Below are 25,226 nucleotides of genomic sequence, written 5' to 3'. Positions count from 1 at the left end.
ATGCTGTGGTTTGATCATAGCTCACAGCAGCCTGGAACTCCTGGAGTCAAATGATCCTCCTGCCTTGGCCTCCCAAAGTGTTGGGATTACATGCATGAGCCACCGTACGCAGCTTTCAACTTTTTTTTTGAGACAAAGTCTCACTCTCTTGCCCAGGCCGGAGTGCAGTGGCACAATCTCGGCTCACTGCAATCTCTACCTCCCCAGTTCAAGCGATTCTCATGCCTCAGCCTCCCAAGTAGCTGGGATTACAGGCATGCGCCACCACGCCCGGCTAATTTTTGTGTTTTTAGTAGAGACAGGGTTTCACCATGTTGGCCAGGATGGTCTCGAACTCCTGACCTCAGGTGATTGCCCTTCCTTGGCCTCCCAAAGTGCTAGGATTACAGGTGTGAGCCACTGCACCCGGGCTCAACTTTTAACCGAGCAAGAATATTTTAAAAACCAAAACCATCTACCATCGGCACCTTTTTATAAAAGAGCATTTTAATGACACATATGTGAAAAGACTAAATCTCAGAATGAAATATAATGTGAAATCAGATAAATAAATGAAAGATGTATTGCTTACTTTTCTCACATCCTCATGGCAAACTTTGTTAGCCACTTGCACCTGTCCATACACAGATCTTTGGGAATCACTAATTTAGACCACTTCATGCCCACCCTTACCCTGCCCCCGGCTTCATTGAGCATTTTTATCACAATACCAAAATATCCGTCTAAATGTATACCTCATCCCCTTATGGAGAACTCCTCAAGCTGAGGAATCCATTAAACTTTGGATGTGTGTGAGAAAATTAGCAGAAAAGGAGTGATCTCTGGAAAACTCAAGATGCTTAAACTTGGCTTTTTTTTTTTTAAGACCAGAATTGATTAATTAATTAATTTTTTAGATGGAGTGGAGTCTCGCTCTGTCTCCAGGCTGGAGTGCAGTGGCACGATCTCGGCTCACTGTAACCTCTGCCTCCCAGGTTCAAGCGATTCTCCTGCCTCAGCCTCCCTAGTAGCTGGAGCTACAAGGCACATGCTACCATGCCCAGCTAAGTTTTGTATTTTTAGTAGAGACAGGGTTTCACCACGTTGGCCAGAATGGTCTCGAACTCCCGACCTCAGGTGATCCAGCCGCCTCGGCCTCCCAAAGTGCTGGGATTACAGGTGTGAGCCCACCATGCCCGGCTGCATTTTATATCAGAATTTAACAGCAGATTTTAACTTAGTCAAAACATGCTTTAGAGTCACCAAAGGAGAATGATGTCTAACAGTGCTGATTTGGGAGTTGGGCACCCTGAGTGTTGGTTGGGCTTTAAAAACTTCATGCTAAACTTCAGGGGAAGTCTCCTCCCCTCTCTCTTCAGTTGTCTTCCGAGATGAACCCTATTACTAATTACTTGACCACCTTTCAAAGTTGCAGTTAAAATTCTTCACATTTTTCTCCCATTTCTATTTAATTAATTATTTTTTTTTTGAGACAGGGTCTCTCTGTTGCCCAGGCTGGAGTACAGTGGCGTGATCTAGTCTCACCGCAACCTCCGCCTCCCGGGTTCAAGCGATTCTCAGACTCCCGAATAGCTGGGGTTACAAGTGTGCGCCATCACACCCGGCTAATTTTTGTATTTTTAGTAGATACGGGGTTTCATCATGTTGGCCAGGCTGGTCTCGAACAACTGACCTCAAGTGATCTGCCCGCCCCGGCCTCCCGAAGTGCTGGGATTACAGGCGTGAGCCACTGCGCCCGCCCCCCATTTCTATTTTAATTAAATTTTATTTAGGATAGGCTTAGCTTAAATTTTTACGACTGAGGTCTGACTTAAGATGATAGCATCAACCATGGAGTTTTCTTTCGTGAACATTATTATTACTAAGCCCAATTTTCCCAGGTCAAATTTTGTAAAACAAAACGTGGTCAAAATTTGATTCTCTGATCGATTTTTTGTAAAAAAGAAAAAAATTACCGTGTAGTTTTAAATGTTGTCAATTAAATTTTGTAATAGTTACCTCTACTCTGTTCAGGTTAATACTGAGGTTTTCAACAAGACCAACATACGATTCTTTTTTTTTTTTTTTTTTTTTTTTTTGGTGGGGTTGAGGGGACATAACAGTTTTTTCACTCTTGTTAAATTAATTTTCTGTTGATTCCATCTATCCTTAATCTTCATTATGAGCAACATACCAGGTTTTCTTCTGAAGATCATATGTGGTAGTGAGGCAATAATGCAAAGACATAGGATGGCAGGGGGATTCCGGCTTCTTTCTTTCTTCCCCTCCTGTGGAAAGAGGGTCTATAACACTCCGTAGTAGATAGGACAATTCTAATTATGAAGGGTAATTAGCTAGGCTCTGCTACAACCGAGAGCCCTGAGAGATTCCTCGACGCTGGCTGCTTTTCTCTTCCTCTCCACCAGAGGCGACAGCCTCTTTCCAAACAGAAACTGGGTTGGAATAGGCCGGTCCGGGGGAACGGCCAGAAGAAAGATCAAAGGTTAAAAACCGCCTCAAAGAGCACAGGTCAATACCCAACTCCTAAGGAGGCCTTAAGCTTTCATCTGCCACGAAACATGAAGGTGACTCCTCCCAATATCAAGGCCGGGGGGCCACTCAGCCTTCCAGAGACCCGGCGGGTCCGAGGCGAGTAACAGGTAACACCTGCTGAGCCGCCGCCGACCGGAAGTGGAAGAGAGCCCGGGACGGGGGTGAGGACAGGCCGCGGCACGCCTGCGCAGTCAGCAGGAGTTGCAGCGCTCATGCGCAGCTGGGCGGTGACAGGGTGACGCTCGGAGCGTGGGCCGCGACTCTCACGGATCCGGTTCCGCCCTCTCGCTGCCGATCCTTCGGAGCGAGCGCCCGAGATCCCTTTCCCAGAGTGCTCTGCGCCGTGAAGAAGCGGCTCCCGGGGACTGGGGGCATTTTGTGTTGGCTGGAGCTGGAGTAACAAGATGGCGTCGTCCGCGGAGTGACAGGGGTCCCTCTGGGCCGGAGCCGGCGGCAGTGGTGGCAGCGGTATCGCCGCCCTAGCTCACCGCGCCCCTTTTCCAGCCCGCGACGTCGCCGCGCAAGCGAGGCAGCGGCGGCCGCCGAGAAACAAGTGGCCCAGCCTGGTAACCGCCGAGAAGCCCTTCACAAACTGCGGCCTGGCAAAAAGAAACCTGACTGAGCGGCGGTGATCAGGTTCCCCTCTGCTGATTCTGGGCCCCGAACCCCGGTAAAGGCCTCCGTGTTCCGTTTCCTGCCGCCCTCCTCCGTAGCCTTGCCTAGTGTAGGAGCCCCGAGGCCTCCGTCCTCTTCCCAGAGGTGTCGGGGCTTGGCCCCAGCCTCCATCTTCGTCTCTCAGGATGGCGAGTAGCAGCGGCTCCAAGGCTGAATTCATTGTCGGAGGGAAATATAAACTGGTACGGAAGATCGGGTCTGGCTCCTTCGGGGACATCTATTTGGCGATCAACATCACCAACGGCGAGGTAATCATCTGGGGTGGGGTTCACGATAACGCTGCGCTTTTACTCATTCCCCCCACCACCACCGTGCACCCCCAAAGTGCTCGGGCCTCTCCTCATCGCACGCACTCGCCAGGGAGTCCAGGGAGCTAGTTTTCCTGGCTTACGAACCTCGTCCGCTGTCTCCCTAAAAGGGTCAAGAACCCGATAGAAAGGTTGGGGGAACTAGTTTCCCACCTTGTTAAACACGTCCCATAAATGTCCCTTAGTCGAGCTTTTTTTTTTTTTAACCGTCTTTTAAGGTGGAAACGGCAAAATCCTCTTTCAGTGATTCCCATGTTTTTTTTTTTTTAATTCTTAATTCTACTGGGCCTCTTGTTCCAATTAGAACAGTTTCCGATCGCCTAGTTCCTTAAAAACCTCTCACTACGTTCAGAGGTTGCCTCTTTTTTCTGGATGAATCATTTTCCTGCACTTTAGAGGACGTACGGATTTCGTCACTACCCCCTGAAGAGGCCTTTGAGGCTGGTTGCCTCGTTTTATAATTACCGAGAGCTTTCTCTTTCCAGCTTTTCACTTCTTCTTGTAGTCGCGACTTGGAGTTTTGCTAATGTCTCCCTCCTTTCCTAAGTGACATTGAATCCGTAGGGATGTTGATGCCATCATCCCCTCTTTCCCCTGCAGGAAGTGGCAGTGAAGCTAGAATCTCAGAAGGCCAGGCATCCCCAGTTGCTGTACGAGAGCAAGCTCTATAAGATTCTTCAAGGTGGGGTTGGCATCCCCCACATACGGTAAGAACCCGGTGCATATAGGCGATCCGCTGAGGGAAGCACGGAATGGGGAAGTGGGTAGAGGCAGGTAATGAGACCAGCTGAATCCGGGTCTTGGTGTTTTAGTTACCTGGGTTCCCTATAGCTGGTGGTTTCCTGTAAGTCAGTCATCTCAATTACTGAGTAAATTTCAGTTTGCCAACTTATTTCATTGTATTACACTGCTCCATTTCGCTTCCGTCATTCTCACTCTTCCCGAGGCTTTCATTTGCAGTTATGCGTGCAGGTCATCTTTGATCCCTACGCGGAAGGGTTGGCTGCTGCCTTTTTTACGGCGGCACTTCTGATGTACTTAGGTTTGTCCAGTGAAGTGGATTTGAAGGTGCCGAAGCGACCCGGCAGTGTCAGTTCGAGTTGCTATTGGAGCTGGCTTGGGAAATGGCTGCTCTTTTGTTGTGTTTTTGTTCCAACATGTCTTCCTCCTCCGCTTAGAAAATGGCGGAACGACGTGACTCAACCCCATATTCCTGCCCTTTTCTCAGCTTGAGTTCACAAATTATGCTTCCTTGATTCCTCCTTTAGCAGCCCCGAGTGGATTAAACCTTTGAAAAGCCAAGAATAAAGCTGCAGGAGGCGGTGTGGAGGTTCGAGGAAGGAGATGGCATAGTGACAGTGTTTGTGATCTCTGCAGCAGATGTGACACGAAATTGTTGAATTACACTATGTAAAATCCTTCGTAGTTCTTTTAAAAGTGTTAATTACTCTTTCTTTTCGTGAATGGTCATATTTGGCACGTTTCAGTCGGGACTAAATTTGTATAGGTAGTGGCAAAGGCAGTTTGAGCAGCACCAACTATGTTAAAATTTACTCATATCAGTTGTATTTAAAAAAATCTTAATCACTTAGCCACACTTTGATAAGTAATTTTAACCTGTTGAGTTTGTCAGTAAATCTTCACATCAGAGAAATTGGGGCCTTTGTTGGTGTGGAATATTGGTGAGTGCAAATAGCAGTAACGAGGATAAAAGATGACGAGATAGACATTGTTCTGTCAAATGGTTAACTTTACTTTGGAGGGTTTTAATGTTTTAACTTTTGGGATTAAAGATCCTCTTCATGGAATGGAGACTAAAATATAGTTTAAAGCCCAGCTATTTTCCAGCAATAATCTAAAATAACATTTGCAAAATTATTCAGAATAGGTAAGAATGGTACTTACTGTTTACTGGAGCCTCTTCTTTAAGACGGAGTTTTCGCTCTTGTGGTCCAGGCTGGAGTGCAATGAATGGCACGATCTTGGCTCACTGCAACCTCTGCCTCCCGGGTTCAAGTGATTCTCGTGCCTCAGCCTCCTGAGTAGCTGGGATTACAGGCGCCCGCCACCACGCCTAGCTAATTTTTGTATTTTAGTTTCACCACGTTGGCCAGGCTGGGCTCGAACTCCTGACCTCAGGTGATCTGCCTGCCTCGGCCTCCCAAAGTGCTGGGATTACAGGCATGAGCCACTGTGCCCGGCTTTTTTTTCTTTTGAAACGGAGCCTTACTCTGTTGCCCAGGCTAGAGTGCAGTGGCGCAACCTTGGCTAACTGCAGCCTCCGCCTCCCAGGTTCAAGTGATCCTCCTGCCTCAGCCTCCCAAGTAGCTGGAATTGCAGAGCTGCACTACTACGCCTGGCTAATTTTTGTATTTTTAGTAGAGCTGAGGTTTTGCCGTGTTGGCCAGGCTGGTCTCCACCTCCTGACCTCAGGTGATCCACCTGCCTCAGCCTCCCAAAGTGCTGGGATTATAGGCGTGAGCCACCGGGCCCAGCCTGTTAGCCCCTTTTTCTATTCCAGTTTGTATTTTTCATGTCTTGAATTAAGGACTGGGTTGCATAGTCTTTACATGGAAACAACTCAAATAAAACTGTCCTTAAAAAGAGTTCCAGCCAGGCGTGGTGGCTCACGCCTGTAATCCAAGCACTTTGGGAGGCCAAGGCAGGCAGGTTACTTTAAGTCAGGAGTTCAACACCAGCCTGGCCAACGTGGTGAAACCTCGTCTCTACTAAAAATACAAAAATTAGCTGAGCATGGTGGCACGTGCCTGTAATCCCAGCTACTCGGGAGGCTGAAGCAGGAGAATAGCTTGAACCCGGGAGTCGGAGGTTGCAGTAAGCTGAGATGGCGCCACTGCACTCCAGCCTGGTGACAGAGCGAGACGCCATCTCAAAAAAACACAAAAAAACACAACAAAAAAAAAAACAAAGTTCCAATGCTGATTTACAGTTTTAATGGAGAATTGAGTGATAAAATGTGCTATTGGTTGTAAATGAGCAAGTAAATCATTTGGAAGAAAGTTGCAAATTTATCTTATGAGGTGAAGATTAAATCTGAGATGATATAGATTTGAAGTTTTTAAATCATTCTTGCCTTTAAAAAAAAAACCTACTATGTGGGAAAATAAGGCCCCTCACCCCTGATTTGCTTTCCATTACTATAGTTTTTCCTAGAATTTCATATAAATGGAATCATACGATATGAGGTCATTTGTGTCTGGCACTTTTCACTTAACATAATGTTTTTGAGATTCATCTATGTTGGGAGATTTTATAAATTTCACAAATCAGGTTAAATTTAATGTATTTGAAATCAGTTTCAAAAAGCATTAAGCATTGTCATTTTTCAGTGCTAAACCCAAGTACAGTACATGTCCTTTTATCTGGTAGCTTTTATTTAAGACCTGATACAGACCCATAAGGGCAATGAGTAATGTACTGAATAAGCACATGAATAAATTAACTTCTGAGCAGAATTATAGTAATAGGTGCCTATTATAAGGTGGTGAGTGCAGAGAGAGTTATGGTAGTTATAAGCTGTCTGTGGGTGAGGCTAAACAGATTAACCTGACTTTCAAGTTAAGGCTTCCTGAGAGATGGGATTTCAGGATCTGGCTCTAAGGAAGAAAGCTTGGTGAACTGGTTTGGTAAGGCATCCAAGAATAGAGTGTGGCTTCTGGGTGTAGTCTCTAAAGGAGAACACAGTAATTGGATGAGAGTGTGGAAAGGGTAAATTTGCTTTAGGAGTGGTAGGGTCAGGTACATGGAAACAAAAGTGGTTCATTGGTTTTAAAGTGAAATGTAAAAAAAAAACTGTTTCCACTGAAGCAAAAAGGATAAAGATTTATGTAAACATTCTTTATTTGGGTAGCAGCATCTTCCCATCCCCCTCAGTTTGTTCCCCACTATTTCTGTATCACCTATACATGGTACATACTTAATAAATATTTACTCGGAAAGTATTGAATTAAGTTGACTATTTAGTGTTAGCTAGATAAAAGTTATGTGTTATCTATTGTTTTAGAAGTATTGTCACTAATTTAAAAAATTTAGATTTTGCTGCCTTTATCCTTCATATACAAATTTGTTCAATCCCTTCCCTATGTTTTCTGTTACAAAATTCCCTATAGGATTTGCTTTTTTTTTTTTTGACATGGAGTCTCACTCTGTTACCAGGCTGGAGTGCAGTGGTACAGTCTTGGCTCACTGCAGCCTCCACCTCCTGGGTTCAAGCAATTCTCCTGCCTTAGCCTCCTGAGTAGCTGGGACTACAGGCACGTGCTGCCACGCCCAGCTAATTTTTGTATTTTTAATAGAGATGGGGCTTTACCATTTTGGCCAGGATGGTCTCCATCTCTTGACCTCGTGATCTGCTCGCCTCGGCCTCTCAAAGTGCTTGGATTACAGGCATGAGCCACCGCACCCAGCCAGGATTTTCTTTAAGATACTTTGGTATATCTTACAACAGAGACTGAAAATTACCTGGCCTGCGTAGATGACCTGCTGAATCAGGTCCTTCCTGTGTAATTTGAGAGACCTATTGTTAAGAAGCATAGCATCCTGAGTAAAGAGCAAGGATAAGCCGGGCGCCATGGCTCACGCCTGTAATCCCAGCACTTTGGGAGGCCGAGGTGGGCAGATTGCCTGAGCCCAGGAGTTGGAGACCAGCCTGGGTAGTAGAGACAGGTGAAACCCTGTCTCTACTAAAATACAAAAAAAAAAAAAATTAGCCTGGTGTGGTGGCGTGCGCCTGTAGTGCCAGCTACTCAGGAGGCTGAGGCAGGAGAATTGCTTGAACATGGGAGGCGGAGGTTGCAGTGAGCCAAGATCGTGCCACTGCACTCCAGCCTGGGCGACAGAATGAGGCTCCGTATCAAAAAAAAAAAAGCAAGGATAAGAGAATGGCATCCATTTTCTTGATATTTTAAGAAATGAAGCTTCCGGTTCTAGGCACTTGGAGAGCCGCGGCTTAAGGTACAGACATGGCCAAGTCCACGAACCACACCACACACAACCAGTCCTGAAAATGGCACAGAAATGGTGGGCTCCAGGTTCCTGAGGAACATGCACTTTGCCAAGAAGCACAAGAAGGGCCTAAAGAAGATGCAGGCCAACAATGCCAAGGCAATGAGTGCACTTGCTGAGGCTAGCAGGGCCCTCGTAAAGCCCAAGGAGGTTAAGCCCAAGATCCCAAAGGGTGTCAGCTGCGAACTCGATTGACTTGCCTACATTGTCCACCCCAAGCTTGGGAAGTGTGCTTGTGTCCGCATTGCCAAGGGGCTCAGACTGTGTGGGCCAAAGGCCAAGGATCAACCAAGGCCCAGGCTGCAGCTCCAGCTTCAGTTCCAGCTCAGGCTCCTCCCAAAGGCTCTCAGGCCCCTACAAAGGCTTCGGAGTAGGTATCTCTGTCTGCCAACGTGAGGACAGAAGGACTGATGCAACCCCCCTGGGCTGCCGTCTTTATGGGGCTGGGGTCCTCCTGTGCTATTAGTACAAATAAACCTGAGGCAGGGGAAAAAAAAAGAAAGAAAATTCTTGGACCTTGTCAATTAATATGTGAGAGCTCACTTAAAATTACAGTTGACCCTTGAACAGTGCTGGGGTTAGGGGCACTGAACCCCAGCCCACTCCCACTGTGCCCCACAGTCAGGAATCCAAGTGTAACTTTTTTTTTTTTTTTGAGATGGAGTCTTGCTCTGTCACCCAGGCTGGAGTGCAATGGTGTGATCTTGGCTCACTGCAACCTCTGCCTCCCAGGTTCATGGGATTACAGGCGCGCCGCCACACCCAGCTAATTTTTGTATTTTTAGTAGAGACGGGGTTTCACAGTGATGGCCAGGCTAGTCTCAAACTCCTGACCTCAGATGATCCACCCACCTCGGCCCGCCAAAGTGCTGGGATTACAGGCATGGACCACTGCACCTGGCCCCAAGTATAACTTGACTCCCCAAAAGCTTAACTACTACTAGCCTACTGTTCACTGGAAGCTTCACCAATAACATGATTGGTCAATAACTATATATATATATATATATATATATATAAAGCTCTTTACCCTCATCATCCTCACTTTGGGCTGAGGAGGAAGAAGAGGGGTTGATCTTGTTTGGGTAGCAGAGGCAGAAAAAAACCTGTGTACAAGTGGACCTGTGCATTTCAAGCCCCTTTTGTTCAAGGGTCAGCTGTATTGAGTTTCTGTTAAAACCTTTTTTTGTGTGTTCCATTCTAAATTGAATTAAGTTCTCCAAAGGAACAATTTAAAAATTTTTTTAAATTTTTTTTATATAGATGGGCTCTTGCTATATTGCCCAGACTGGTCTTGCATTCCTGAGCTCAAGTACTTCTCCTGCCTCAGCCTCCCAAAGCGCTGGGATTATAGGCATCAGCCACCGTGCAATGACCCAAGAAACAACTATGACATACCGAAAAATTCTTTATCTAGATAGGTTTTGGAGGTTTGAGCTGTAGATCTGCCATGTGATATTGACTGGGTCATCTACAGTCAGTCAGTTCCTTAATGTGTGTAAGCCCATCTGTTTCCTCATTTAGAACATAAAAAAAGGATTGTTCTAATGGGAAGGAGAGTGCTGAATAGAAAGATTTAGGGCTGCCTACCCTTCTTTTGCCAGCTAAATACTCATTTCCATTTGCCTTTGCATACTGAGCTTTTGGGTAGGGTTTTGTTTGAACAAGGGTTCCCTACTTAAAAGTGTCACTGGCCTCATTGATCCTAAGGACTTTTAGTCCTGGAATTTTAAGACCTATTTTCAAAGGATAGTAGCTAGAAAAAAAGCATTCCAGCAGTTTGATATTGTGTCTACTACTTGCCTTCCTTTCTTGTTTTTCCTATTTTTCTTTCATCTTTTATTATTTTTATTTTTAGCGGCAGGTTCTTGCTCTGTCACCCGGGCGGAGTGCAGTGGCTATTCAGAAGTATGATAATAGCACACTACAGCCTCAAACTCCTGGACTCAAATGATCCTCCTGCCTCTTAGCCTCCTGAGTAGCTAGGACTGCAGATGAATACCACCTCTCCCAGCTGCCTAGTGTGTTTTAATCACTATTTTTGCCCTCTGTGTCTGAAGGTCAAATGTTTTAGAACGTATTTATAAAGCACTAGTTAATCCTTACTCTTCACTTTTAAAAGCAGCTTAATCTTATCTTTGGCACTGAGCATATATCCTGTGAATAACATAATGGCTGTTATCAGAGAATAAAGATGACGCTGCATTGGATATGTCTTCATTAAGATATATTACAGTGTCCATGCTTAGCTTGGACTAAAAAAAAAAAACCAGAAAAACGTACGTCACAGATCACGAGAAATGTGCTTTTTAACTTGAAGGGAAACTGAATTCATGGTATACTAGAGCTGCTTTATACTGGCTTATGAGATAATGTAATAATGCTAGGTAGCATTTTAAGCTGGACAAAATGTTAGAGATGTATATAGCCCTATTCCTACTAATACAAATTAGACTGTTGAATCTCAGGGGAGTTACTGGAGTGTCCTAACTTCCAGTTCTTCTGAGAATCATTATCACCCTTATGTCAAGGTCAAATCATGCCCTCTCACACACTCCACATCGTTTCATTTGATACTGGAGAGCCATCCTGTACTTCTTCACTTGTTGGCATTTTGCCTCATAGACAAGCTGAAGAGCTCTTACATAAATATAAGTAACCTATTTGTATTTAATTAGATGCTTACGATTCAGGGTGTTCTTATTCTCCCTTTTGAATCTGTGGATTGCAGGATAAAAACTTGCTGGAAATTATTAATTTGTGGCCAGGCGCAGTGGTTCACACCTGTAATCCCAGCACTTTGGGAGGCCAAGACGGGCGGATCACCTGAGGTCAGGAGTTCGAAACCAGGCTGGCCAACATGGTGAAACCCCATCTCTACTGAAATACAAAAATTAGCCAAGCATGGTGGTGTGTGCCTGTAGTCCCAGCTACTTGGGAGGCTGAGTCAGGAGAATTGCTTGAGCCCGGGAGGCAGAGGTTGCAGTGAGCTGAGATCATGCCACTGCACTCCAGCCTGGGTGACAGAGCGAGCCTCTGTCTCAAAAAAAAAAAAAAAAAAAAATATATATATATATATATATACATATATATATATATATATATATATATATATACATATATATATATATATATATATATATATATATATATATATATATATAAATTTGTATCTCATTTCGGAGTAAATGCTTGAACCCATGTAAAGTATGTGGGTTATTCCTTGGCTTTAGTCAGTGGTCCCCAGCCTTTTTGGCACCAGGGACAGGTTTCGTGGAAGACAGTTTTTCCACAGACTGGAGCAAGTAGGGGGTGGGGTGGGGGTGGGAATGATTTTGAGATGATTCAAGTGCATTACATTTATTGTGCACTTTATTTCTATTATTATTACATTGTAACATATAATGAAATAATTATACAACTCACCTTGATGTAGAATCAATGGGAGCCCTGGGCTTGCTTTCCTGCAACTACCTGCTTCCATCTGGGGGTCATGGGAGACAGTAACAGATCGTCAGGCATTAGATTCTCATAAGGAATGCACAACCTAGATCCCTCTGATGTGCAGTTCACAGCAGGGTTTGCGTTCCTATGAGAATCTAATTCTGTTGATCTGACAGGAGGCTGAGCTCAGGCGGTAATGCCAGCTTTGGGGAGTGGCTGTAAATACAGATGAAGCTTCACTTCGCTTCTATACTGGATACCGGTCAGTGGCCCAGGGATCAAGGATCCTTGGCTTTAGTCATTTCTGGACCTAGATCTTTTTTTTTTTTTTTTTTTTTTTTTGAGATGCAGTCTTTCTCTGTTGCCCAGGCTGGGATGCAATGGCGTGATCTTGACTCACTGCAACCTCCACTTCCCAGGTTCAAGTGATTCTCCTGCCTCAGCCTCCTGAGTAGCTAGGACTACAGGCATATACCACCATGCCTGGCTAATTTTTTTTAGTAGAGATGAGGTTTCACCATATTGGTCAGGCTGGTCTCGAACTCCTGACCTCAAGTGATCCACCTGCCTCGGCCTCCCAAAGTGCTGGGATTACAGGCGTGAGCCACCGCACCTGGCTAGATCATTTTGTTTTAAAGTATATTTAAGCTGTACCTAAAATATCATTAAGTCTTGGTTTTCTCATGATCTGTCACTGTTCACCAGGGATTTTTGCTGTCAAGAATGAGTGTCTTCATAACTTTCATCATTTAACTTGGTGTTCAGTGTATGCACACAGGTAAAATGATGCTTTATTGTGTTACTGTTTTTGTTTCTAATTTCAATCTCAGATGGCTCTTAAAATTTTGGTTGACTGGCCGGGTGTGGTAGCTCATGCCACACCTGTAATCCCAGCACTTTGGGAGGCCAAGGCGGGCGGATCACTTGAAATCAGGAGTTTGACACCAGCCTGGCCAACATGGTGAAATCCTGTCTCTACTAAAAATACAAAAATTAGCTGGCCATGGTGGCAGGTGCCTGCAATCCCAGCTACTCGGGAGGCTGAGACAGGAGAATTGCTTGATCCCAGGAGACGGAGGTTGCAGTGAGCTGAGATCACGCCACTGCACTCTGGCCTGGGTGACAGATGGAGACTCCATCTCAAAAAAAAAAAACAAAATTGGTTGACCAGTATTAACATAGCATAAACTAATGCATGTTTTAGTGGGATTTTTATTTTTAATTTTATTTTTTGAGATGCAGTCTTGCTCTGTTGCCCAGGCCAGAGTGCAGTGGCGCAATCTTGGCTCACTGCAACCTCCGCCTCCTGGGTTCAAGTGATTCTCCTTGCTCAGCCTCTGGAGTAGCTGGGACTACAGGTGCCCGCCACCATACCCGGCTAATTTTTTTTGTATTTTTGTAGAAATGGGGTTTCACCGTATTGGCCAGGCTGGTCTTGGACTCCTGACTTTGTGATCCGCCCATCTCGACCTCCCAAAGTGCTGGGATTACAGGTGTGAGCCACCATACCCTGCCGGATCAGTTTTGACAAATGCATATGTTGGTGTAACCTACATCTCTGTTGAGATAAGGACTATTTGATTTTTTTTTTGTATGCACACATTGCTCATCCTTGGTAAGTTCTATTCTGTGACAGTGTTAGTTTTATTTTATTTATTTATTTTTTAAGTCTGTCTTTTGGATTACAGCTAAGCCTTATTTTTCTCCCCAGTCCCCAGTTAAGCATTATTTTGGTGTTGGTTTTACTATAGATTAATAGTCTGTTTATCACCATGAGGTACATTATAGGATTTATCTGACAAAATTATCAGATGGTGGTTGTGTTGCAGGTGATGGTAGTAAATATGGTATTCAGTGATAATTGAGATCTTTACCTTGCTCTCCTTTGAAGAACTAAAATACTGCCTTTTTCTTGTCGGTGTGAGCAGTGGGGTATGTTATGGCCCTTTAATGGGGATTTTGGAAGTGCTACACAAAACGGTTTAGCTGAAGAGAGTACATTTCAATCCTCAACATAAAGGGAAATGGAAAGAGCATTGTATTATGAGTCAGGGTTCTGCCTGTGATGCCATCTAGATTTGAACCTATTAATAGAATGAATTCTATAATTTGTAAAGTCAGTTCTTACTTGTAAAAGGGTTTTCGAAAGCCCAACAAGGTCTTAAGGGTTTTTTAATGTGTAGTATATATTGATGGAATCAGTAGGACAAAAGATGCCTCTTGTTCTCTGATGTAATGATTTGTTCTAATTTTAAGGTATAATTGCCTTTTATTTATTTGTAATGTTGATAAGTACTTTTGAAATAAGGGAATAATTGGTTGAATTCAGTGTGGCTAAACATTCTTTTTTCCCTCTGCATGCAACAAAAAGAGTCCAATATTATCCAGGCATTGCATACGGTCTCATTTAATCATTACACCAATCTTGTAAGTTGGTGTTTCTTATAAAGTATGTGAGTCAAAGTGGTTAATTTGCCTAAAGTCACACAGCTGATGTGTGATTTGTACAGGTCCTACTGCATCTTTCAGCTCTACCAGTGGTTCTCAAATTTTGCTGCAAATGGAATCAAATGGCAAAGTTAAAAAAAAAAGACAACTAATCCCTAACTGCAAGTATTTTGATTTAATTAAATTGGGATATGACGTAGGTATCATGATTTTTAAAAGCTCCCCAGGTGATTCTGATATGTAACAATTAATAATTGTTATTAATCCCCAAAATATAGTATATTAATAATTAATAACAATAATTTTTGCTTTGCTACTCACCCCCATCAACCCCCATCTTTTCCTAGAATTACAACCTAATAAGGCTATACTCTTTTCTTTCTTTTTTTTTTTTTTAAGAGTTGGGTTCTTGCTCGGCCGCCTAGGCCTGGAGTATAGTGGCTCAATCATAGCTTACTGCAGCCTTGAACTCCTGGGCTCCAGTGATCCTCCTATCTCAGCCTTCTAAGTAGCTGAGACTACAGGCATACACCACCATACTTGGCTAATTTTTATTTTTATTTTTTAGAAATAGAGTCTCACTGTGTTGCTCAGGCTGTAAGGCTGTGTTCTTAATTTATATATTTCCTCTTAGAATTAATTCAGGAAATCCTGTAATAGGCATCATGATACTGGAAAGTACCAGAAAGTACATATAATCCCATGTAATCAAATGCTTTGATTTCTGGAAAGTGTCTAAAATCGATGTATGAAACCATTTACCTCTTCACATGTTTCAGATGCATTCCTACAATAATGCATTCTAGAAACTCCTTGAAGGAGAGAACTGTCTTACTCATAGAGGTATCTTGTGTTTCTTATTGTGCCAAGTACAATAATGAAATTCTACTTTTATTATATATCTATATACATTTAATTTTTTCTTTTTCTTTTTTTTTTTTTGAGACGGAGTTTCGCTCTTGTTGCCCAAGCTGGAGTGCAATGGCACAATCTCGGCTCACCGCAACATCCGCCTCCTGGGTTCAAGTGATCCTCCTGCCTCAGCCTCCTGAGTAGCTGGGATTACAGGCATGCGCCATCACACTCGGCTAATTTTGTATTTTTAGTAGAGACGGGGTTTCTCCTTGTTGGCCAGGCTGGTCTCGAACTCCTGGTCTCAAGTGATCCAGCTGCCTTGGCCTCCCAAAGTGCTGGGATTACAGATGTGAGCCGCTGTGCCCAGCCATTCACTGTTAGGTTGAGTTTGGTTTTGTGTTTGGCTGTTTGCCCTTGATTGAAATTATTACCACCAAGCTGTACTTACAGAAATCCTAGTGTTCCCATTTTTGAACCTCCATAATATTATTTTTTATCCCTCTTAGAGAAGTGAGTGTTGTTAGCTTCTATTCTTCAAACGAGAGCTCTGATAGTTTGAGACTCTCTTGGTGAATTTAACATACAACACCTTGTACAGTACGTTGAAGAGAACAACCATTTCTTTCATTCAGTTGACATTCACCTGAGGGTACCTACCCTGTGCCAGTCACAGTTTAAGAAACTGGACAGCCGGGCGCGGTGGCTCATGCCTGTAATCCCAGCACATTGGGTGGCCGAGGCGGGCGGATCACCTGAGGTCGGGAGTTCGAGACCAGCCTGACCAACATGGAGAAACCCCGTCTCTACTAAAAATACAAAATTAGCTGGGCGTGGTGGCACATGCCTGTAATCCCAGCTACTAGGGAGGCTGAGGCAGGAGAATCGCTTGAACCTGGGAGGCGGAGGTTGCAGTGAGCCAGGATCGCGCCATTGCACTCCAGCCCGGGCAACAAGAGCGAAACTCCGTCTCAAAAAAAAAAAAAAAAAAAAAAAAACTGGGCACACTTCATTGAACAGACAATGATTTTGTGAGGCTTGCATTCTTTTTGAGCATCTGCTGTGAGCCTGGCATGTAATTGTGAATTTGTCTCCTGCTGAAAATTAGGAAGGATGTCTAAATCTCAAACTATGTGAGGACATAAATGTTTACTTAAGAGGGTAGCATATTGAGATGAGCCCCAAACAGTACCCTGAAACATTTAGAGATTGCCTTAGTTAATTGCAACAGTAGGACCCCGTTAAGACTATTCATGTGTATCCTTCTAAGTCAGCATTTTTCCAACCTCAGCTGTGTATAAATAATTACCACTTATAGAGTTTGTAAAAAATTCAGGTTACACTGCTCTACCATCAGATTTTTGTTTGACCAATTCTGGAGTGGGGACCAAGAGTTATTTTTTTTCTTTGTTTTGTTTTGTTTGTTTTTAATGTAATTACCACAAGGAATTTCTACTAAAGACCAGAGAACCACACTGAGAAATTCTGTGCTGAGGTTTTGGCACTCCATTGTATCAAGCTGTTGAGGGTAGTTAGTGAATTTTGCTGAGTGCTATGGCTGTTGTAGGAAATGGTATTGTCTTGGTTGTTGGCATTTTATCATTGTTGGTCAACTGTTTTTTGTTTGTTTTTCACTAGAGATGGAGTCTCACTCTGTCGCTCAGGCTGGAGTACAGTGGCACGATCTCGGCTCACTGCAACCTCTGCCTCCTGGGTTCAAGCGATTCTCCTGCCTCAGCTCCCTGAGTAGCTGGGATTACAGGCGCCCACTACTGCACCCGGCTAATTTTTGTATTTTTAGTAGAGATGGGGTTTCACCATGTTGGCCAGGCTGGTCTCAAACTCCTGACCTCAAGTGATCCACCTGCCTCAGCCTCCCAAAGTACTGGGATTACAGGTGTGAGCCACTGCACCTGGCCAGGCGACTGCTTTTTGTAATAAGAATAATAATCCCTTATTTATGTAATGCTTTGTAATTTATCAAGTGCTTTTACATAAACTCTCATAATTACCACAACACCTTTTGATAAATAAATAGGGTTATATTAAGAATCTTTGACCAGTGAGCAGAAATCACTTACACAGAGTCACAGAGCAAGAAAATAACAAGCCAGGACTAGAACCTATGTTTCTGGCTGCTGGTCCAGTATTCTTGGTACTATGTTACATATACTGTCAACTTAGCCAGCTTCCCATTCTTAAACCTAACTGCAGATTTACTGGACTACTTTTTAATGGTCTGGTCACTGAAGGACTTACTTTTATGAATATTACTTAGTGCTGTATTATTCAGGGTTGCACAGACTTGATAGCTATTCATGTATTTGAATAGCCATCTTTTCTTTCTTTGAGGTTGTATCATTCCTTTCTGGTAGCTTGTGTTGCTTCTTCCATTTTCCTTTTCCCCTTTGCTGTATGTTTGCAGCCCAGGCATTGTGTCCTTTCTTCTGTATTTGCTACGTAAAACAAACATATCAAACTTTGGAATGTTCATTGTTTTCTTTTTGTATTCATTTTCTCCACTAATGAAGATAATTTAATTTTGCCTTTTTGTATCGTTTTTGTCTACAGTTTCTTATCTAGAATACTTAGCTCTATCCATTTAAAGAGGATTTTCTAAGCAAATTAATTAATGCAAAGTAGGGGGAAGTGTTCCCTTCATCCAGTTATTTGTTCTCTTAGTATCTTCATACAGAAACATTGTCTGTAATACAAGTGCTAACTTATAGTGCAAAAATTACCCTAAAGAAAACCATTTGAGGCTGGGCACGGTGGCTCACTCCTGTAATCCTAGCACTTTGGGAGGCCGAGGTGGGCGAATCACCTGAGGTTGGTTGTTCCAGACCAGCCTGACCAACATGGAGAAACCCCATATCTACTAAAAATACAAAATTAGTCAGGCGTGGTGGCGCGTGCCTGTGATACCAGCTACTCAGGAGGCTGAGGCAGGAGAATCACTTGAACCCAGAAGGCAGAGATTGTGGTGAGCTGAGATCATGCCATTGTATTCCAGCCTGGGCAACGAGAGCAAAACTCTGTCTCAAAAAAAGAAAGAAAGCCATTTGGTGGCTGGGTGTGGTAGCTCACCCCTGTAATCTCAGCACGTTGGGAGGCTGAGGCGGGTGGATCACTTGAGGTCAGGAGTTTGAGACCAGTCCCCCCAACATGGCAAAACCCTGTCTCTACTCAAAACACACAGAAAAATTAGCTGAGTGTGGCAGCATGTGCCTGTAATCCCAGCTACTCAGGAGGCTGAGGCAGGAGAATCGCTTGAATCTGGGAGGCAGAGAGGTTGCAGTGAGCCGAGATTGTGCCAGTGCATTCCAGTCTGGGCAACAGTGAGACTCCATTTCAAAACAAAAACAAAGAAACAAACAAAAAGAAAGCCATTTGGTCTCTTAATAGTGTATTAGGAGATATTTTATAGGAGTGTGTTTGATTTCTTTTTTTCTTTCTGAAACTTTTTAATGTACATGTTATCCCTTTTTAAGGAGTGGAGGTAAGTCACTTGAGCCTTAAGAATTTGAGGTTTGAATTAGGGAGTTAGGAAGGGGGCCCAATTTTAGTATTTTACAAGTATGGTGGGTGGTAATGGCTTTGGACATGTTGAAATTAAGGTGAATGGCATATTGTGTTTTACTCTTGTGTAGTAAAGTTAGCAGCAAATACAGAACTGAGCCTAGGCCAGGGAACTGGGATTGGGGTTAGATCTAAGCAAGATCAGCATGTAAGTGATAGTGGAGAAAGTAAATTGAGAGGTGAGGACTCATCCCCTTGGTGGAAATTCGGAATTAATAAAGCAGGAGGAGAGTCAGGATAATGGGCTGTTGAATAAAGAAAGTAAGTTTTTAGGAAGAGGTAATGTGTATCCAAGAAGTAGGAAAGAAATGAGACTTAAAGCGTTTGGGGTTTGGCTGTGTTAGAGCTCAGTACCCAACAGGTGCTCAGTAAAGTAACTTGACTCAATGATTGGGTCTGAGGATAATCCGAAGAGGGAGTTAAGTATATAGAATTGAAAGGATAAGCAGAGGCCATATTTAGGAATTTTTTGATATATGAAACTCTTGCTTTTTTAGTAGGTAAGGGGCTTTTTTTTTTTTTTTTTTGGGAGACAAGGTCTCAGTGTCACCCAGGATGGAGTACAGTGGCTAGCCTCAACAGCCGAGGCTCAAGTGATCCTCCTGCCTCAGCTTCCTGGGGAGTACAGGCGCATGCCACCACGCCTGGCTAATTTTTTATTTTTCATAGAGAGACCGGGGTCTTTGTTGGCCTAGGCTAATCTCGAACCACCTGAGCTCAAGTGATCCTCCCATCTTGACCTCCCAAAGTGTTGGGATTACAGGTGTGAGCTATCGCATGGCTCCTTTAGTTTTTATAACAGAGAAATGACACAGTAAAACCATAGAGGGGTAACTGGAACTAGGAGAATATTTAAGAAGCTAATACAATAATCCAGGCATCTTTCAAAATTTAGCCCAGGTGCTAACATTTTTAGGAAGCCTTCTTTTTTTTTTTTTTTTTTTTTTTTTTGAGACAGAGTCTCGCTCTGTCGCCAGGCTGGAGTGCAATGGCGCCATCTCAGCTCACTGCAACCCCCGCCTCCCGGGTTCAAGCAATTCTTCTGCCTCAGCCTCCCGAGAGTAGCTGGGACTACAGGCGTGCGCCACCACGCCCAGCTAATTTTTGTGTTTTTAGTAGAGACGGGGTTTCACCATGTTGGCCAGGATGGTCTCGATCTCTCTTGACCTTGTGATTCGCCTGCCTTGGCCTCCCAAGGTGCTGGGATTACAGGTGTGAGCCACCGCGCCTGGCCAGAAGCCTTCTTTTTTATCTTCTAAGTAAATTGCTTATTCCTGTATTTTGTATTTATGGTTGCCTTTATATTACACTTGTCATCTACCAGTTCTTCATCAGCTTTATTGATATAATTTACCCACATAAAGGTTAACCTATTTAAGCTGTACAGTTTGTTTCTTAGTATATGTACAAAGTTGTACAACCATTACCATAATTCAAATTTAGAATATTTTCCTCATGCCAAAAATAAATCTTGAACCCATTGTCAGTCACTCCATTTCCCGTCAGCCCTAGGCAACTACTAATCTGCTTTTATATATTTGCCTATTAGAAAACATTTGATCAAGCTTTTGTAATTTGTGTTATGAAGACTATAAGTACATTTTCCACTTCCCAATGAAAAAGTGTATTTTAACATTTGTATCTCCCTGGACCTTCCAGTTCTCCACATGCTGTCCCTCAATACCACCACTATCAATGTTGGAGCAGTGATGACAAGAGCTGACAAAAGTTAGGTCATTTGTGATTTTTTTTTTTTTTGCAACTACGTCCCCGCTCAATTATTTGTGATCTTTGAAATAACACTTTGGGTATTACGGGGAAAATAACTATGTTACTGGGAACCAAGAAAAAATGAGAGTAAGATGCAAATATAAACCAGGTTTTCAAAAAATTACCTGAAGAAGAAAATAAGGTGATCTTACACACTATACCAACCTATGCTGTCACTTAGTTTCTTGTGAGCACCAGACTTCAGCCTGGTGCCAATCCACCCCTTAACCTGGGTCTCTGCCATCTGTCCTTTGAGAATCAACCTTACTTCCTCAGAGAAACTTTCCCTGATGCCTCCCTTAAAAAAAAAGATCAGATCCCCATAATTTGTGCCCCCACAATAGCACTCTTCTCTCCTTCATCATGGTGTTTATCACCCTTCCCCACTATAAGCCACGAAAGCAGCAATTATTTTGTTTTGTCTTGTTAGCTACTCTAAATATTGAATGGATAAATGAATAGTAACTTTGATAATGAACAGTGGTAAAGTTTTTTTTGTTTGTTTTTATAATTTTTGGAGTTAAGGAACATCTACATATCTTTGAAGGCAAAGGGCAAGGAACAAAGGTGGAGAATATGAAAATGTACGGTAATTCAAGGATCTTGGGGGTAATGTTGTAAGCAAAGGATTAGTAGTAACAAGGCAGCAAGAAGAGGGAAAACAAATCATCTTAGTTGACTACGTTATTGCTGAGCAAAACATACATGATTTTCAAATATTAGATCTTATTCTACAGGCTATTTATCTCAAAAGTTGGTTTGGAACAGGGGCTCTTAACCTGGTTCATAACCATATCCACCCCCCATGAGATCTATGTATTTAGACAGGTAAGGAAAATTACATTTTTATTTTCATGAGCTTCTCACTCAAATCTAGTATTTCTTTTTGATTTTAAGTGTAAGTAGGAAACCTCATGAGTTTTAGCAGAACCTTTGACTTTGTCACCAATAGAAATCACTGATTTTTGTGGGGGGTAGATGGAGTTTTGCTCTTACCGCCAGGCTGGAGTGCAATGGCGTGATCTTGGCTCACTGCATCTCCTGCCTCCCAGGTTCAAGTGATTCTCCTTAGCCTCCTGAGTAGCTGGGATTACAGGCGCCCAACGCCACGCCCGGCTGATATTTGCATATTTAGTAGAGATGGGGTTTCACCATGTTGGCCAGAGTGGTCTCAAACTCCTGACCTCAGGTGATCCATCTGCCTCGACCTCCCAAAGTGCTAGAATTGCAGGTGTGAGCCACTGCACCCAGCTAGAAATCGCAGATTTTTTTTTTTTTTAGACTAAGTCTCACTCTGTGGCCCAGGCTGGAGTGCAACAGTATGATCTCAGCATGAGCCACTCCGCCCGGCTGAAATCACAGGTATTTTATATCACATTATTGTTGCAGGTATCTTAAAATATAGTTTACACTCATTACTACATCAAAATTATAGCATTTATTAGACCTGCTCCTATATTTAATGCATTAATAAGCAGAGTGTAGGGCTGGGCACTGTGGCTCACACCAGTAATCCCAACATTTTAGGAGGCCAAGGCAGGCGGATCACGTGAGGCCAGGAGTTCAAAATCAGCCTGGCCAACATGGTGAAACCCTGTCTCTACTAAAAATACAAAAATCAGCCAGGAGTGGTCGCATATGCCTGTAATCCCAACAGGTGGATGAGGCATGAGAATCTCTTGAACCTGGGAGGCAGAGACTGTAGTGAACCAAGATCACACCATTGCACTCCAGCCTGGGCGACACAGTGAGATCCTGTCTCAAAAAATAATAATAATAAGGAGAGTATGTATATTACTATATCCCAAATTCCTTTTTTTTTTTTTTGAGATGGAGTCTTGCTGTCACCCAGGCTTGAGTGCAGTGGCATAAGCTCGGCCCACTGCAGCGTCTGCCTCCTGAGTAGCTGGGATTACAGGTCCCCACCACCATGTGCGGCTAATTTTTTGTTTTTTGTTTTTTTTTTTTTTGTATTTTTAGTAGAGACAGGGTTTTGCCATGTTGGCTAGGCTGGTCTCGAACTCCTGACCTCCAGCGATCCACCCACCTCAGCCTCCCAAAGTGCTGGGATTACAGGCTTGAGCCACTGCACCTGGCTCAAAATTGATTTTTTTTCTTTTTCTTTTCTTTCTTTCTTTTTTTTTTGAGACAGAGTTTTGTTCTTGTTGCCCAGGCAGGAGTGCAATAGCGTGATCTCGGCTCACTGCAACCTCGGCCTCCCGGGTTCAAGCAATTTTCCTGCCTCAGCCTTCCAAGTAGCTGGATTACAGGCATGTTAATTTTGTATTTTTATTAGAGATGGGATTTCTCCATGTTGGTTAGGCTGGTCTCGAATTGCCGACCTCAGGTGATCCGCCCTCCTTGGCCTCCCAAAGTGCTGGGATTACAGGCATGAGCCACTGTGCCTGGCCCCAAAATTGATTGTTTAGAAGTAATTTTATGCTAGTTCAATTTCGCTATAATTGATTTTCTTTATAATGCCTTGTATTTTATGCATTTAAAACATTCTGAGAAGAGATGTATGGGGAGAAGAGGTATCTGGTTTTGAGAATACATCTGTGTATAATGAATGGCAAATAGCTGTTAAGAATGGCATATACAAATATGAATGTATAGGAAAATTGAAAGGATTTTAGAGAAAAGGGAACAGAGTAGCTGAAACTTTTTTTTTTTGTTTATGTGTTCTTTTTTTTTTTTTGAGACAGAGTCTCGCTTTGTCATCCAGGCTGGAGTGCAATGGCGAGATCTCAGCTCATGGCAACCTCTGCTGCCTGGGTTCAAGCAATTCTCCTGTCTCAGCCTCCTGAGTAGGTGGGACTATAGGCGCCCACCACCATGCCCAGCTAATTTTTGTATTTTTAGTAGAGACGGGGTTTCACCATATTGGTCAGACTGGTCTCGAACTCCTGGCCTCATGATCCGCCCGCCTCGGCTTCCCAGAGTGCTGGGATTACAGGCGTGAGCCACCGCGCCTGGCCTGAGTAGCTGGAACTGTTAGCAGTAGTATCCTAAAGAGACAATTTGAGTTAGTTCTTACGGTTCAGCAAGATCTTGCTAGGCCAAATTCCTTTTCTGCTCCCATTAAAAAGGAGCATAAAGGTTGGATAATGATGGGCTGGCAAGAGACTAAGTTTGAGAGACAGTATCTTCAGGATATCTTGTAGGTGCTATTAAAATTGGATATATTATAGCACTGATTCAGTGTTGATACTTTTTAGTTGTTCACTGAAGACTCTGACATTAATAACCGAAAGATTGGCAAACGACTTTTTAACTTTTATAATTATTTGGCTTATTTGAACTAGGGATAAATAGATGCTTCCTGATGTCTTCACTTGGAGTGCAGGGAGTGTTTTTGCATTTCTTGTTTTGTTTTCCTTATCTGCCAAATCAAGCACTCCCTACACTGTTACAGCTTCTAATATGAGTTTTCATTATTTTACTCAGCAAATGTTTTGAGCATCTCTTGTGTATGCTGGGAATACAGATTGTGAACAAGACAAATATAATGATTGCCCCTAATTAAGTTAATAGTCTGAAGGGGAAGATCTACATTAAATTTTTTTTTTTACTGTTATTTTGTCCTGGTCATGGTGATGGAACTAACATATATTTGGGTAAAGTGCATATTACAATAATTACACTGATTTATTCTGGAATATTCTGGGTCTCATAGTAATACTTAAATATTTTTATATGAAAAATATGTATTTTTTTTCTCAAATACTCCCATTTTCATGAAGACATTTTTCAGAAAAAAGCAAACCCCTAGCTTGAAATCTCCGGCTATAGTATAACACTTCCTAATTGGTAACCATGTCATTGTCATTCCTTCCCCTGGTCCTCCATTTCCATATTGTATACTGATGCCAAGGCTAATAATTACTGATTTTAATTATGTCTCAGCCACAAACTGTAGTAATAGTTCACCCAATTATTTACAGCATGTAAAGCTCATAAGCCTTGCACTGAAGAACCTATACTGCAGCTTCAATCTATCTGCCACCTTGACTCTTCCCTTTATGACAGCCCATGCCCCAAAATGGTTTGCCCCTGCCTGGTAAGCCCTTTTCTGCCTTACTTATCAAAACACTGTTCATCCTTCAGGATCTGACTGGTAGCAGACTATTTTCCTAATACCTCTTTAGACAGATTTAGTTCTCATTGATCTTTTGTGTGAATCATGTTAGCATTTTTTGTCAGCCTCATTGACTTTTGCATGTATTGTCTTACATTTGTGCTTTTTGTGTATGTCTTAATTTTTAAATTGGATTTAATTTGGATATGCGTTTAGAGGAAAGGACATAAGAGCAGAGAGATAGACCTTGCCTTCTCTTGGCATTATCTTCAGACCTTAGATACTTTTTTTATGCTGTAAGTAAGTAATAATGGTTGTGTAAATTATGAACTCATTCTTCAGCCTAGTTTTAGGTAACACTGAAGTCTAAAGGTATAGATTTGAAACAAATGGAAAATGAGATCCCCGAACATTTTATCTTTTTAAAATTATTATTTTCACTTTCACCCATTAAATTACTTGATTTTTTTTAATGTTTCGTAACTTAGGAAGAATAAGGTCCAAATCAACTGGAA

At 42.8% G+C, this 25,226-nt stretch overlaps 2 protein-coding genes and 1 pseudogene across 6 annotated transcripts in view, besides 12 other annotated features; 2 read left to right on the top strand and 1 right to left on the bottom strand.

The window, feature by feature from the left end:
- Nucleotides 1–2,672, bottom strand: part of ARHGEF37 (Rho guanine nucleotide exchange factor 37) — an 83,344-nt gene extending 80,672 nt beyond the window's left edge. For both annotated transcript variants that reach the window (XM_011537642.4, XM_047417170.1), the window contains exon 1: nt 2,174–2,672. In XM_011537642.4, coding sequence (XP_011535944.1) covers nt 2,174–2,195 — 22 coding nt within the window. In that variant the 5' untranslated portion in view covers nt 2,196–2,672. The remainder of the gene's footprint in view (nt 1–2,173) is intronic.
- Nucleotides 1,908–2,701: an enhancer, noted in NCBI's record as "H3K27ac hESC enhancer chr5:148931159-148931952 (GRCh37/hg19 assembly coordinates)". NCBI's record gives its function as "activates a minimal SCP1, AML or CMV promoter by ChIP-STARR-seq in naive H9 embryonic stem cells {active_cell/tissue: H9 hESC(naive)}" and the evidence as "EXISTENCE:reporter gene assay evidence [ECO:0000049][PMID:30033119]".
- Nucleotides 1,908–3,070: a biological region, named in NCBI's record as "H3K27ac hESC enhancer GRCh37_chr5:148931159-148931952".
- Nucleotides 2,281–2,350: an enhancer, noted in NCBI's record as "active region_23377". NCBI's record gives its function as "activates an Ori minimal core promoter by ATAC-STARR-seq in GM12878 lymphoblastoid cells {active_cell/tissue: GM12878}" and the evidence as "EXISTENCE:reporter gene assay evidence [ECO:0000049][PMID:35858748]".
- Nucleotides 2,401–3,070: an enhancer, noted in NCBI's record as "active region_23376". NCBI's record gives its function as "activates an Ori minimal core promoter by ATAC-STARR-seq in GM12878 lymphoblastoid cells {active_cell/tissue: GM12878}" and the evidence as "EXISTENCE:reporter gene assay evidence [ECO:0000049][PMID:35858748]".
- The window catches only part of CSNK1A1 (casein kinase 1 alpha 1), a 58,458-nt gene continuing 36,089 nt past the window's right edge, over nt 2,858–25,226 (top strand). For 3 of the 4 annotated variants that reach the window (NM_001271741.2, NM_001892.6, NM_001025105.3), the window contains exons 1-2: nt 2,858–3,455; nt 4,116–4,222. In NM_001271741.2, the coding sequence (NP_001258670.1) occupies nt 3,333–3,455; nt 4,116–4,222 (230 nt within the window). In that variant the 5' untranslated portion in view covers nt 2,858–3,332. Of the gene's footprint in view, nt 3,456–3,931; nt 4,223–25,226 lie in introns of those variants that run through there. The other variant, NM_001271742.2, reaches the window with a different exon arrangement.
- Nucleotides 3,101–3,160: an enhancer, noted in NCBI's record as "active region_23375". NCBI's record gives its function as "activates an Ori minimal core promoter by ATAC-STARR-seq in GM12878 lymphoblastoid cells {active_cell/tissue: GM12878}" and the evidence as "EXISTENCE:reporter gene assay evidence [ECO:0000049][PMID:35858748]".
- Nucleotides 3,291–3,350: an enhancer, noted in NCBI's record as "active region_23374". NCBI's record gives its function as "activates an Ori minimal core promoter by ATAC-STARR-seq in GM12878 lymphoblastoid cells {active_cell/tissue: GM12878}" and the evidence as "EXISTENCE:reporter gene assay evidence [ECO:0000049][PMID:35858748]".
- Nucleotides 3,597–4,796: an enhancer, noted in NCBI's record as "MED14-independent group 3 enhancer chr5:148929064-148930263 (GRCh37/hg19 assembly coordinates)". NCBI's record gives its function as "activates an origin of replication core promoter dependent on BRD2, BRD4, P300/CBP and CDK7 cofactors, and independent of MED14, by STARR-seq in HCT116 cells {active_cell/tissue: HCT116}" and the evidence as "EXISTENCE:reporter gene assay evidence [ECO:0000049][PMID:35650434]".
- Nucleotides 4,350–4,569: an enhancer, noted in NCBI's record as "active region_23373". NCBI's record gives its function as "activates an Ori minimal core promoter by ATAC-STARR-seq in GM12878 lymphoblastoid cells {active_cell/tissue: GM12878}" and the evidence as "EXISTENCE:reporter gene assay evidence [ECO:0000049][PMID:35858748]".
- Nucleotides 4,590–4,729: an enhancer, noted in NCBI's record as "active region_23372". NCBI's record gives its function as "activates an Ori minimal core promoter by ATAC-STARR-seq in GM12878 lymphoblastoid cells {active_cell/tissue: GM12878}" and the evidence as "EXISTENCE:reporter gene assay evidence [ECO:0000049][PMID:35858748]".
- Nucleotides 5,730–6,265: an enhancer, noted in NCBI's record as "H3K27ac-H3K4me1 hESC enhancer chr5:148927595-148928130 (GRCh37/hg19 assembly coordinates)". NCBI's record gives its function as "activates a minimal SCP1, AML or CMV promoter by ChIP-STARR-seq in naive H9 embryonic stem cells {active_cell/tissue: H9 hESC(naive)}" and the evidence as "EXISTENCE:reporter gene assay evidence [ECO:0000049][PMID:30033119]".
- Nucleotides 8,453–9,027, top strand: RPL29P14 (ribosomal protein L29 pseudogene 14; annotated as a pseudogene).
- Nucleotides 8,495–9,404: an enhancer, noted in NCBI's record as "H3K27ac-H3K4me1 hESC enhancer chr5:148924456-148925365 (GRCh37/hg19 assembly coordinates)". NCBI's record gives its function as "activates a minimal SCP1, AML or CMV promoter by ChIP-STARR-seq in naive H9 embryonic stem cells {active_cell/tissue: H9 hESC(naive)}" and the evidence as "EXISTENCE:reporter gene assay evidence [ECO:0000049][PMID:30033119]".
- Nucleotides 13,121–13,324: a silencer, noted in NCBI's record as "fragment chr5:148920536-148920739 (GRCh37/hg19 assembly coordinates)". NCBI's record gives its function as "represses an EF-1alpha promoter that drives an FKBP-Casp9 reporter gene in an ReSE screen in K562 erythroleukemia cells {active_cell/tissue: K562}" and the evidence as "EXISTENCE:reporter gene assay evidence [ECO:0000049][PMID:32094911]".

The sequence above is a fragment of the Homo sapiens genome, chromosome 5 (genome assembly GCF_000001405.40).
Source record: "Homo sapiens chromosome 5, GRCh38.p14 Primary Assembly".
NCBI classification, from domain to species: Eukaryota; Metazoa; Chordata; class Mammalia; order Primates; family Hominidae; genus Homo; species Homo sapiens.
The sequence above is the reverse complement of the archived record's forward strand: the minus strand, read 5'-3'. Positions and strand labels throughout refer to the sequence as shown.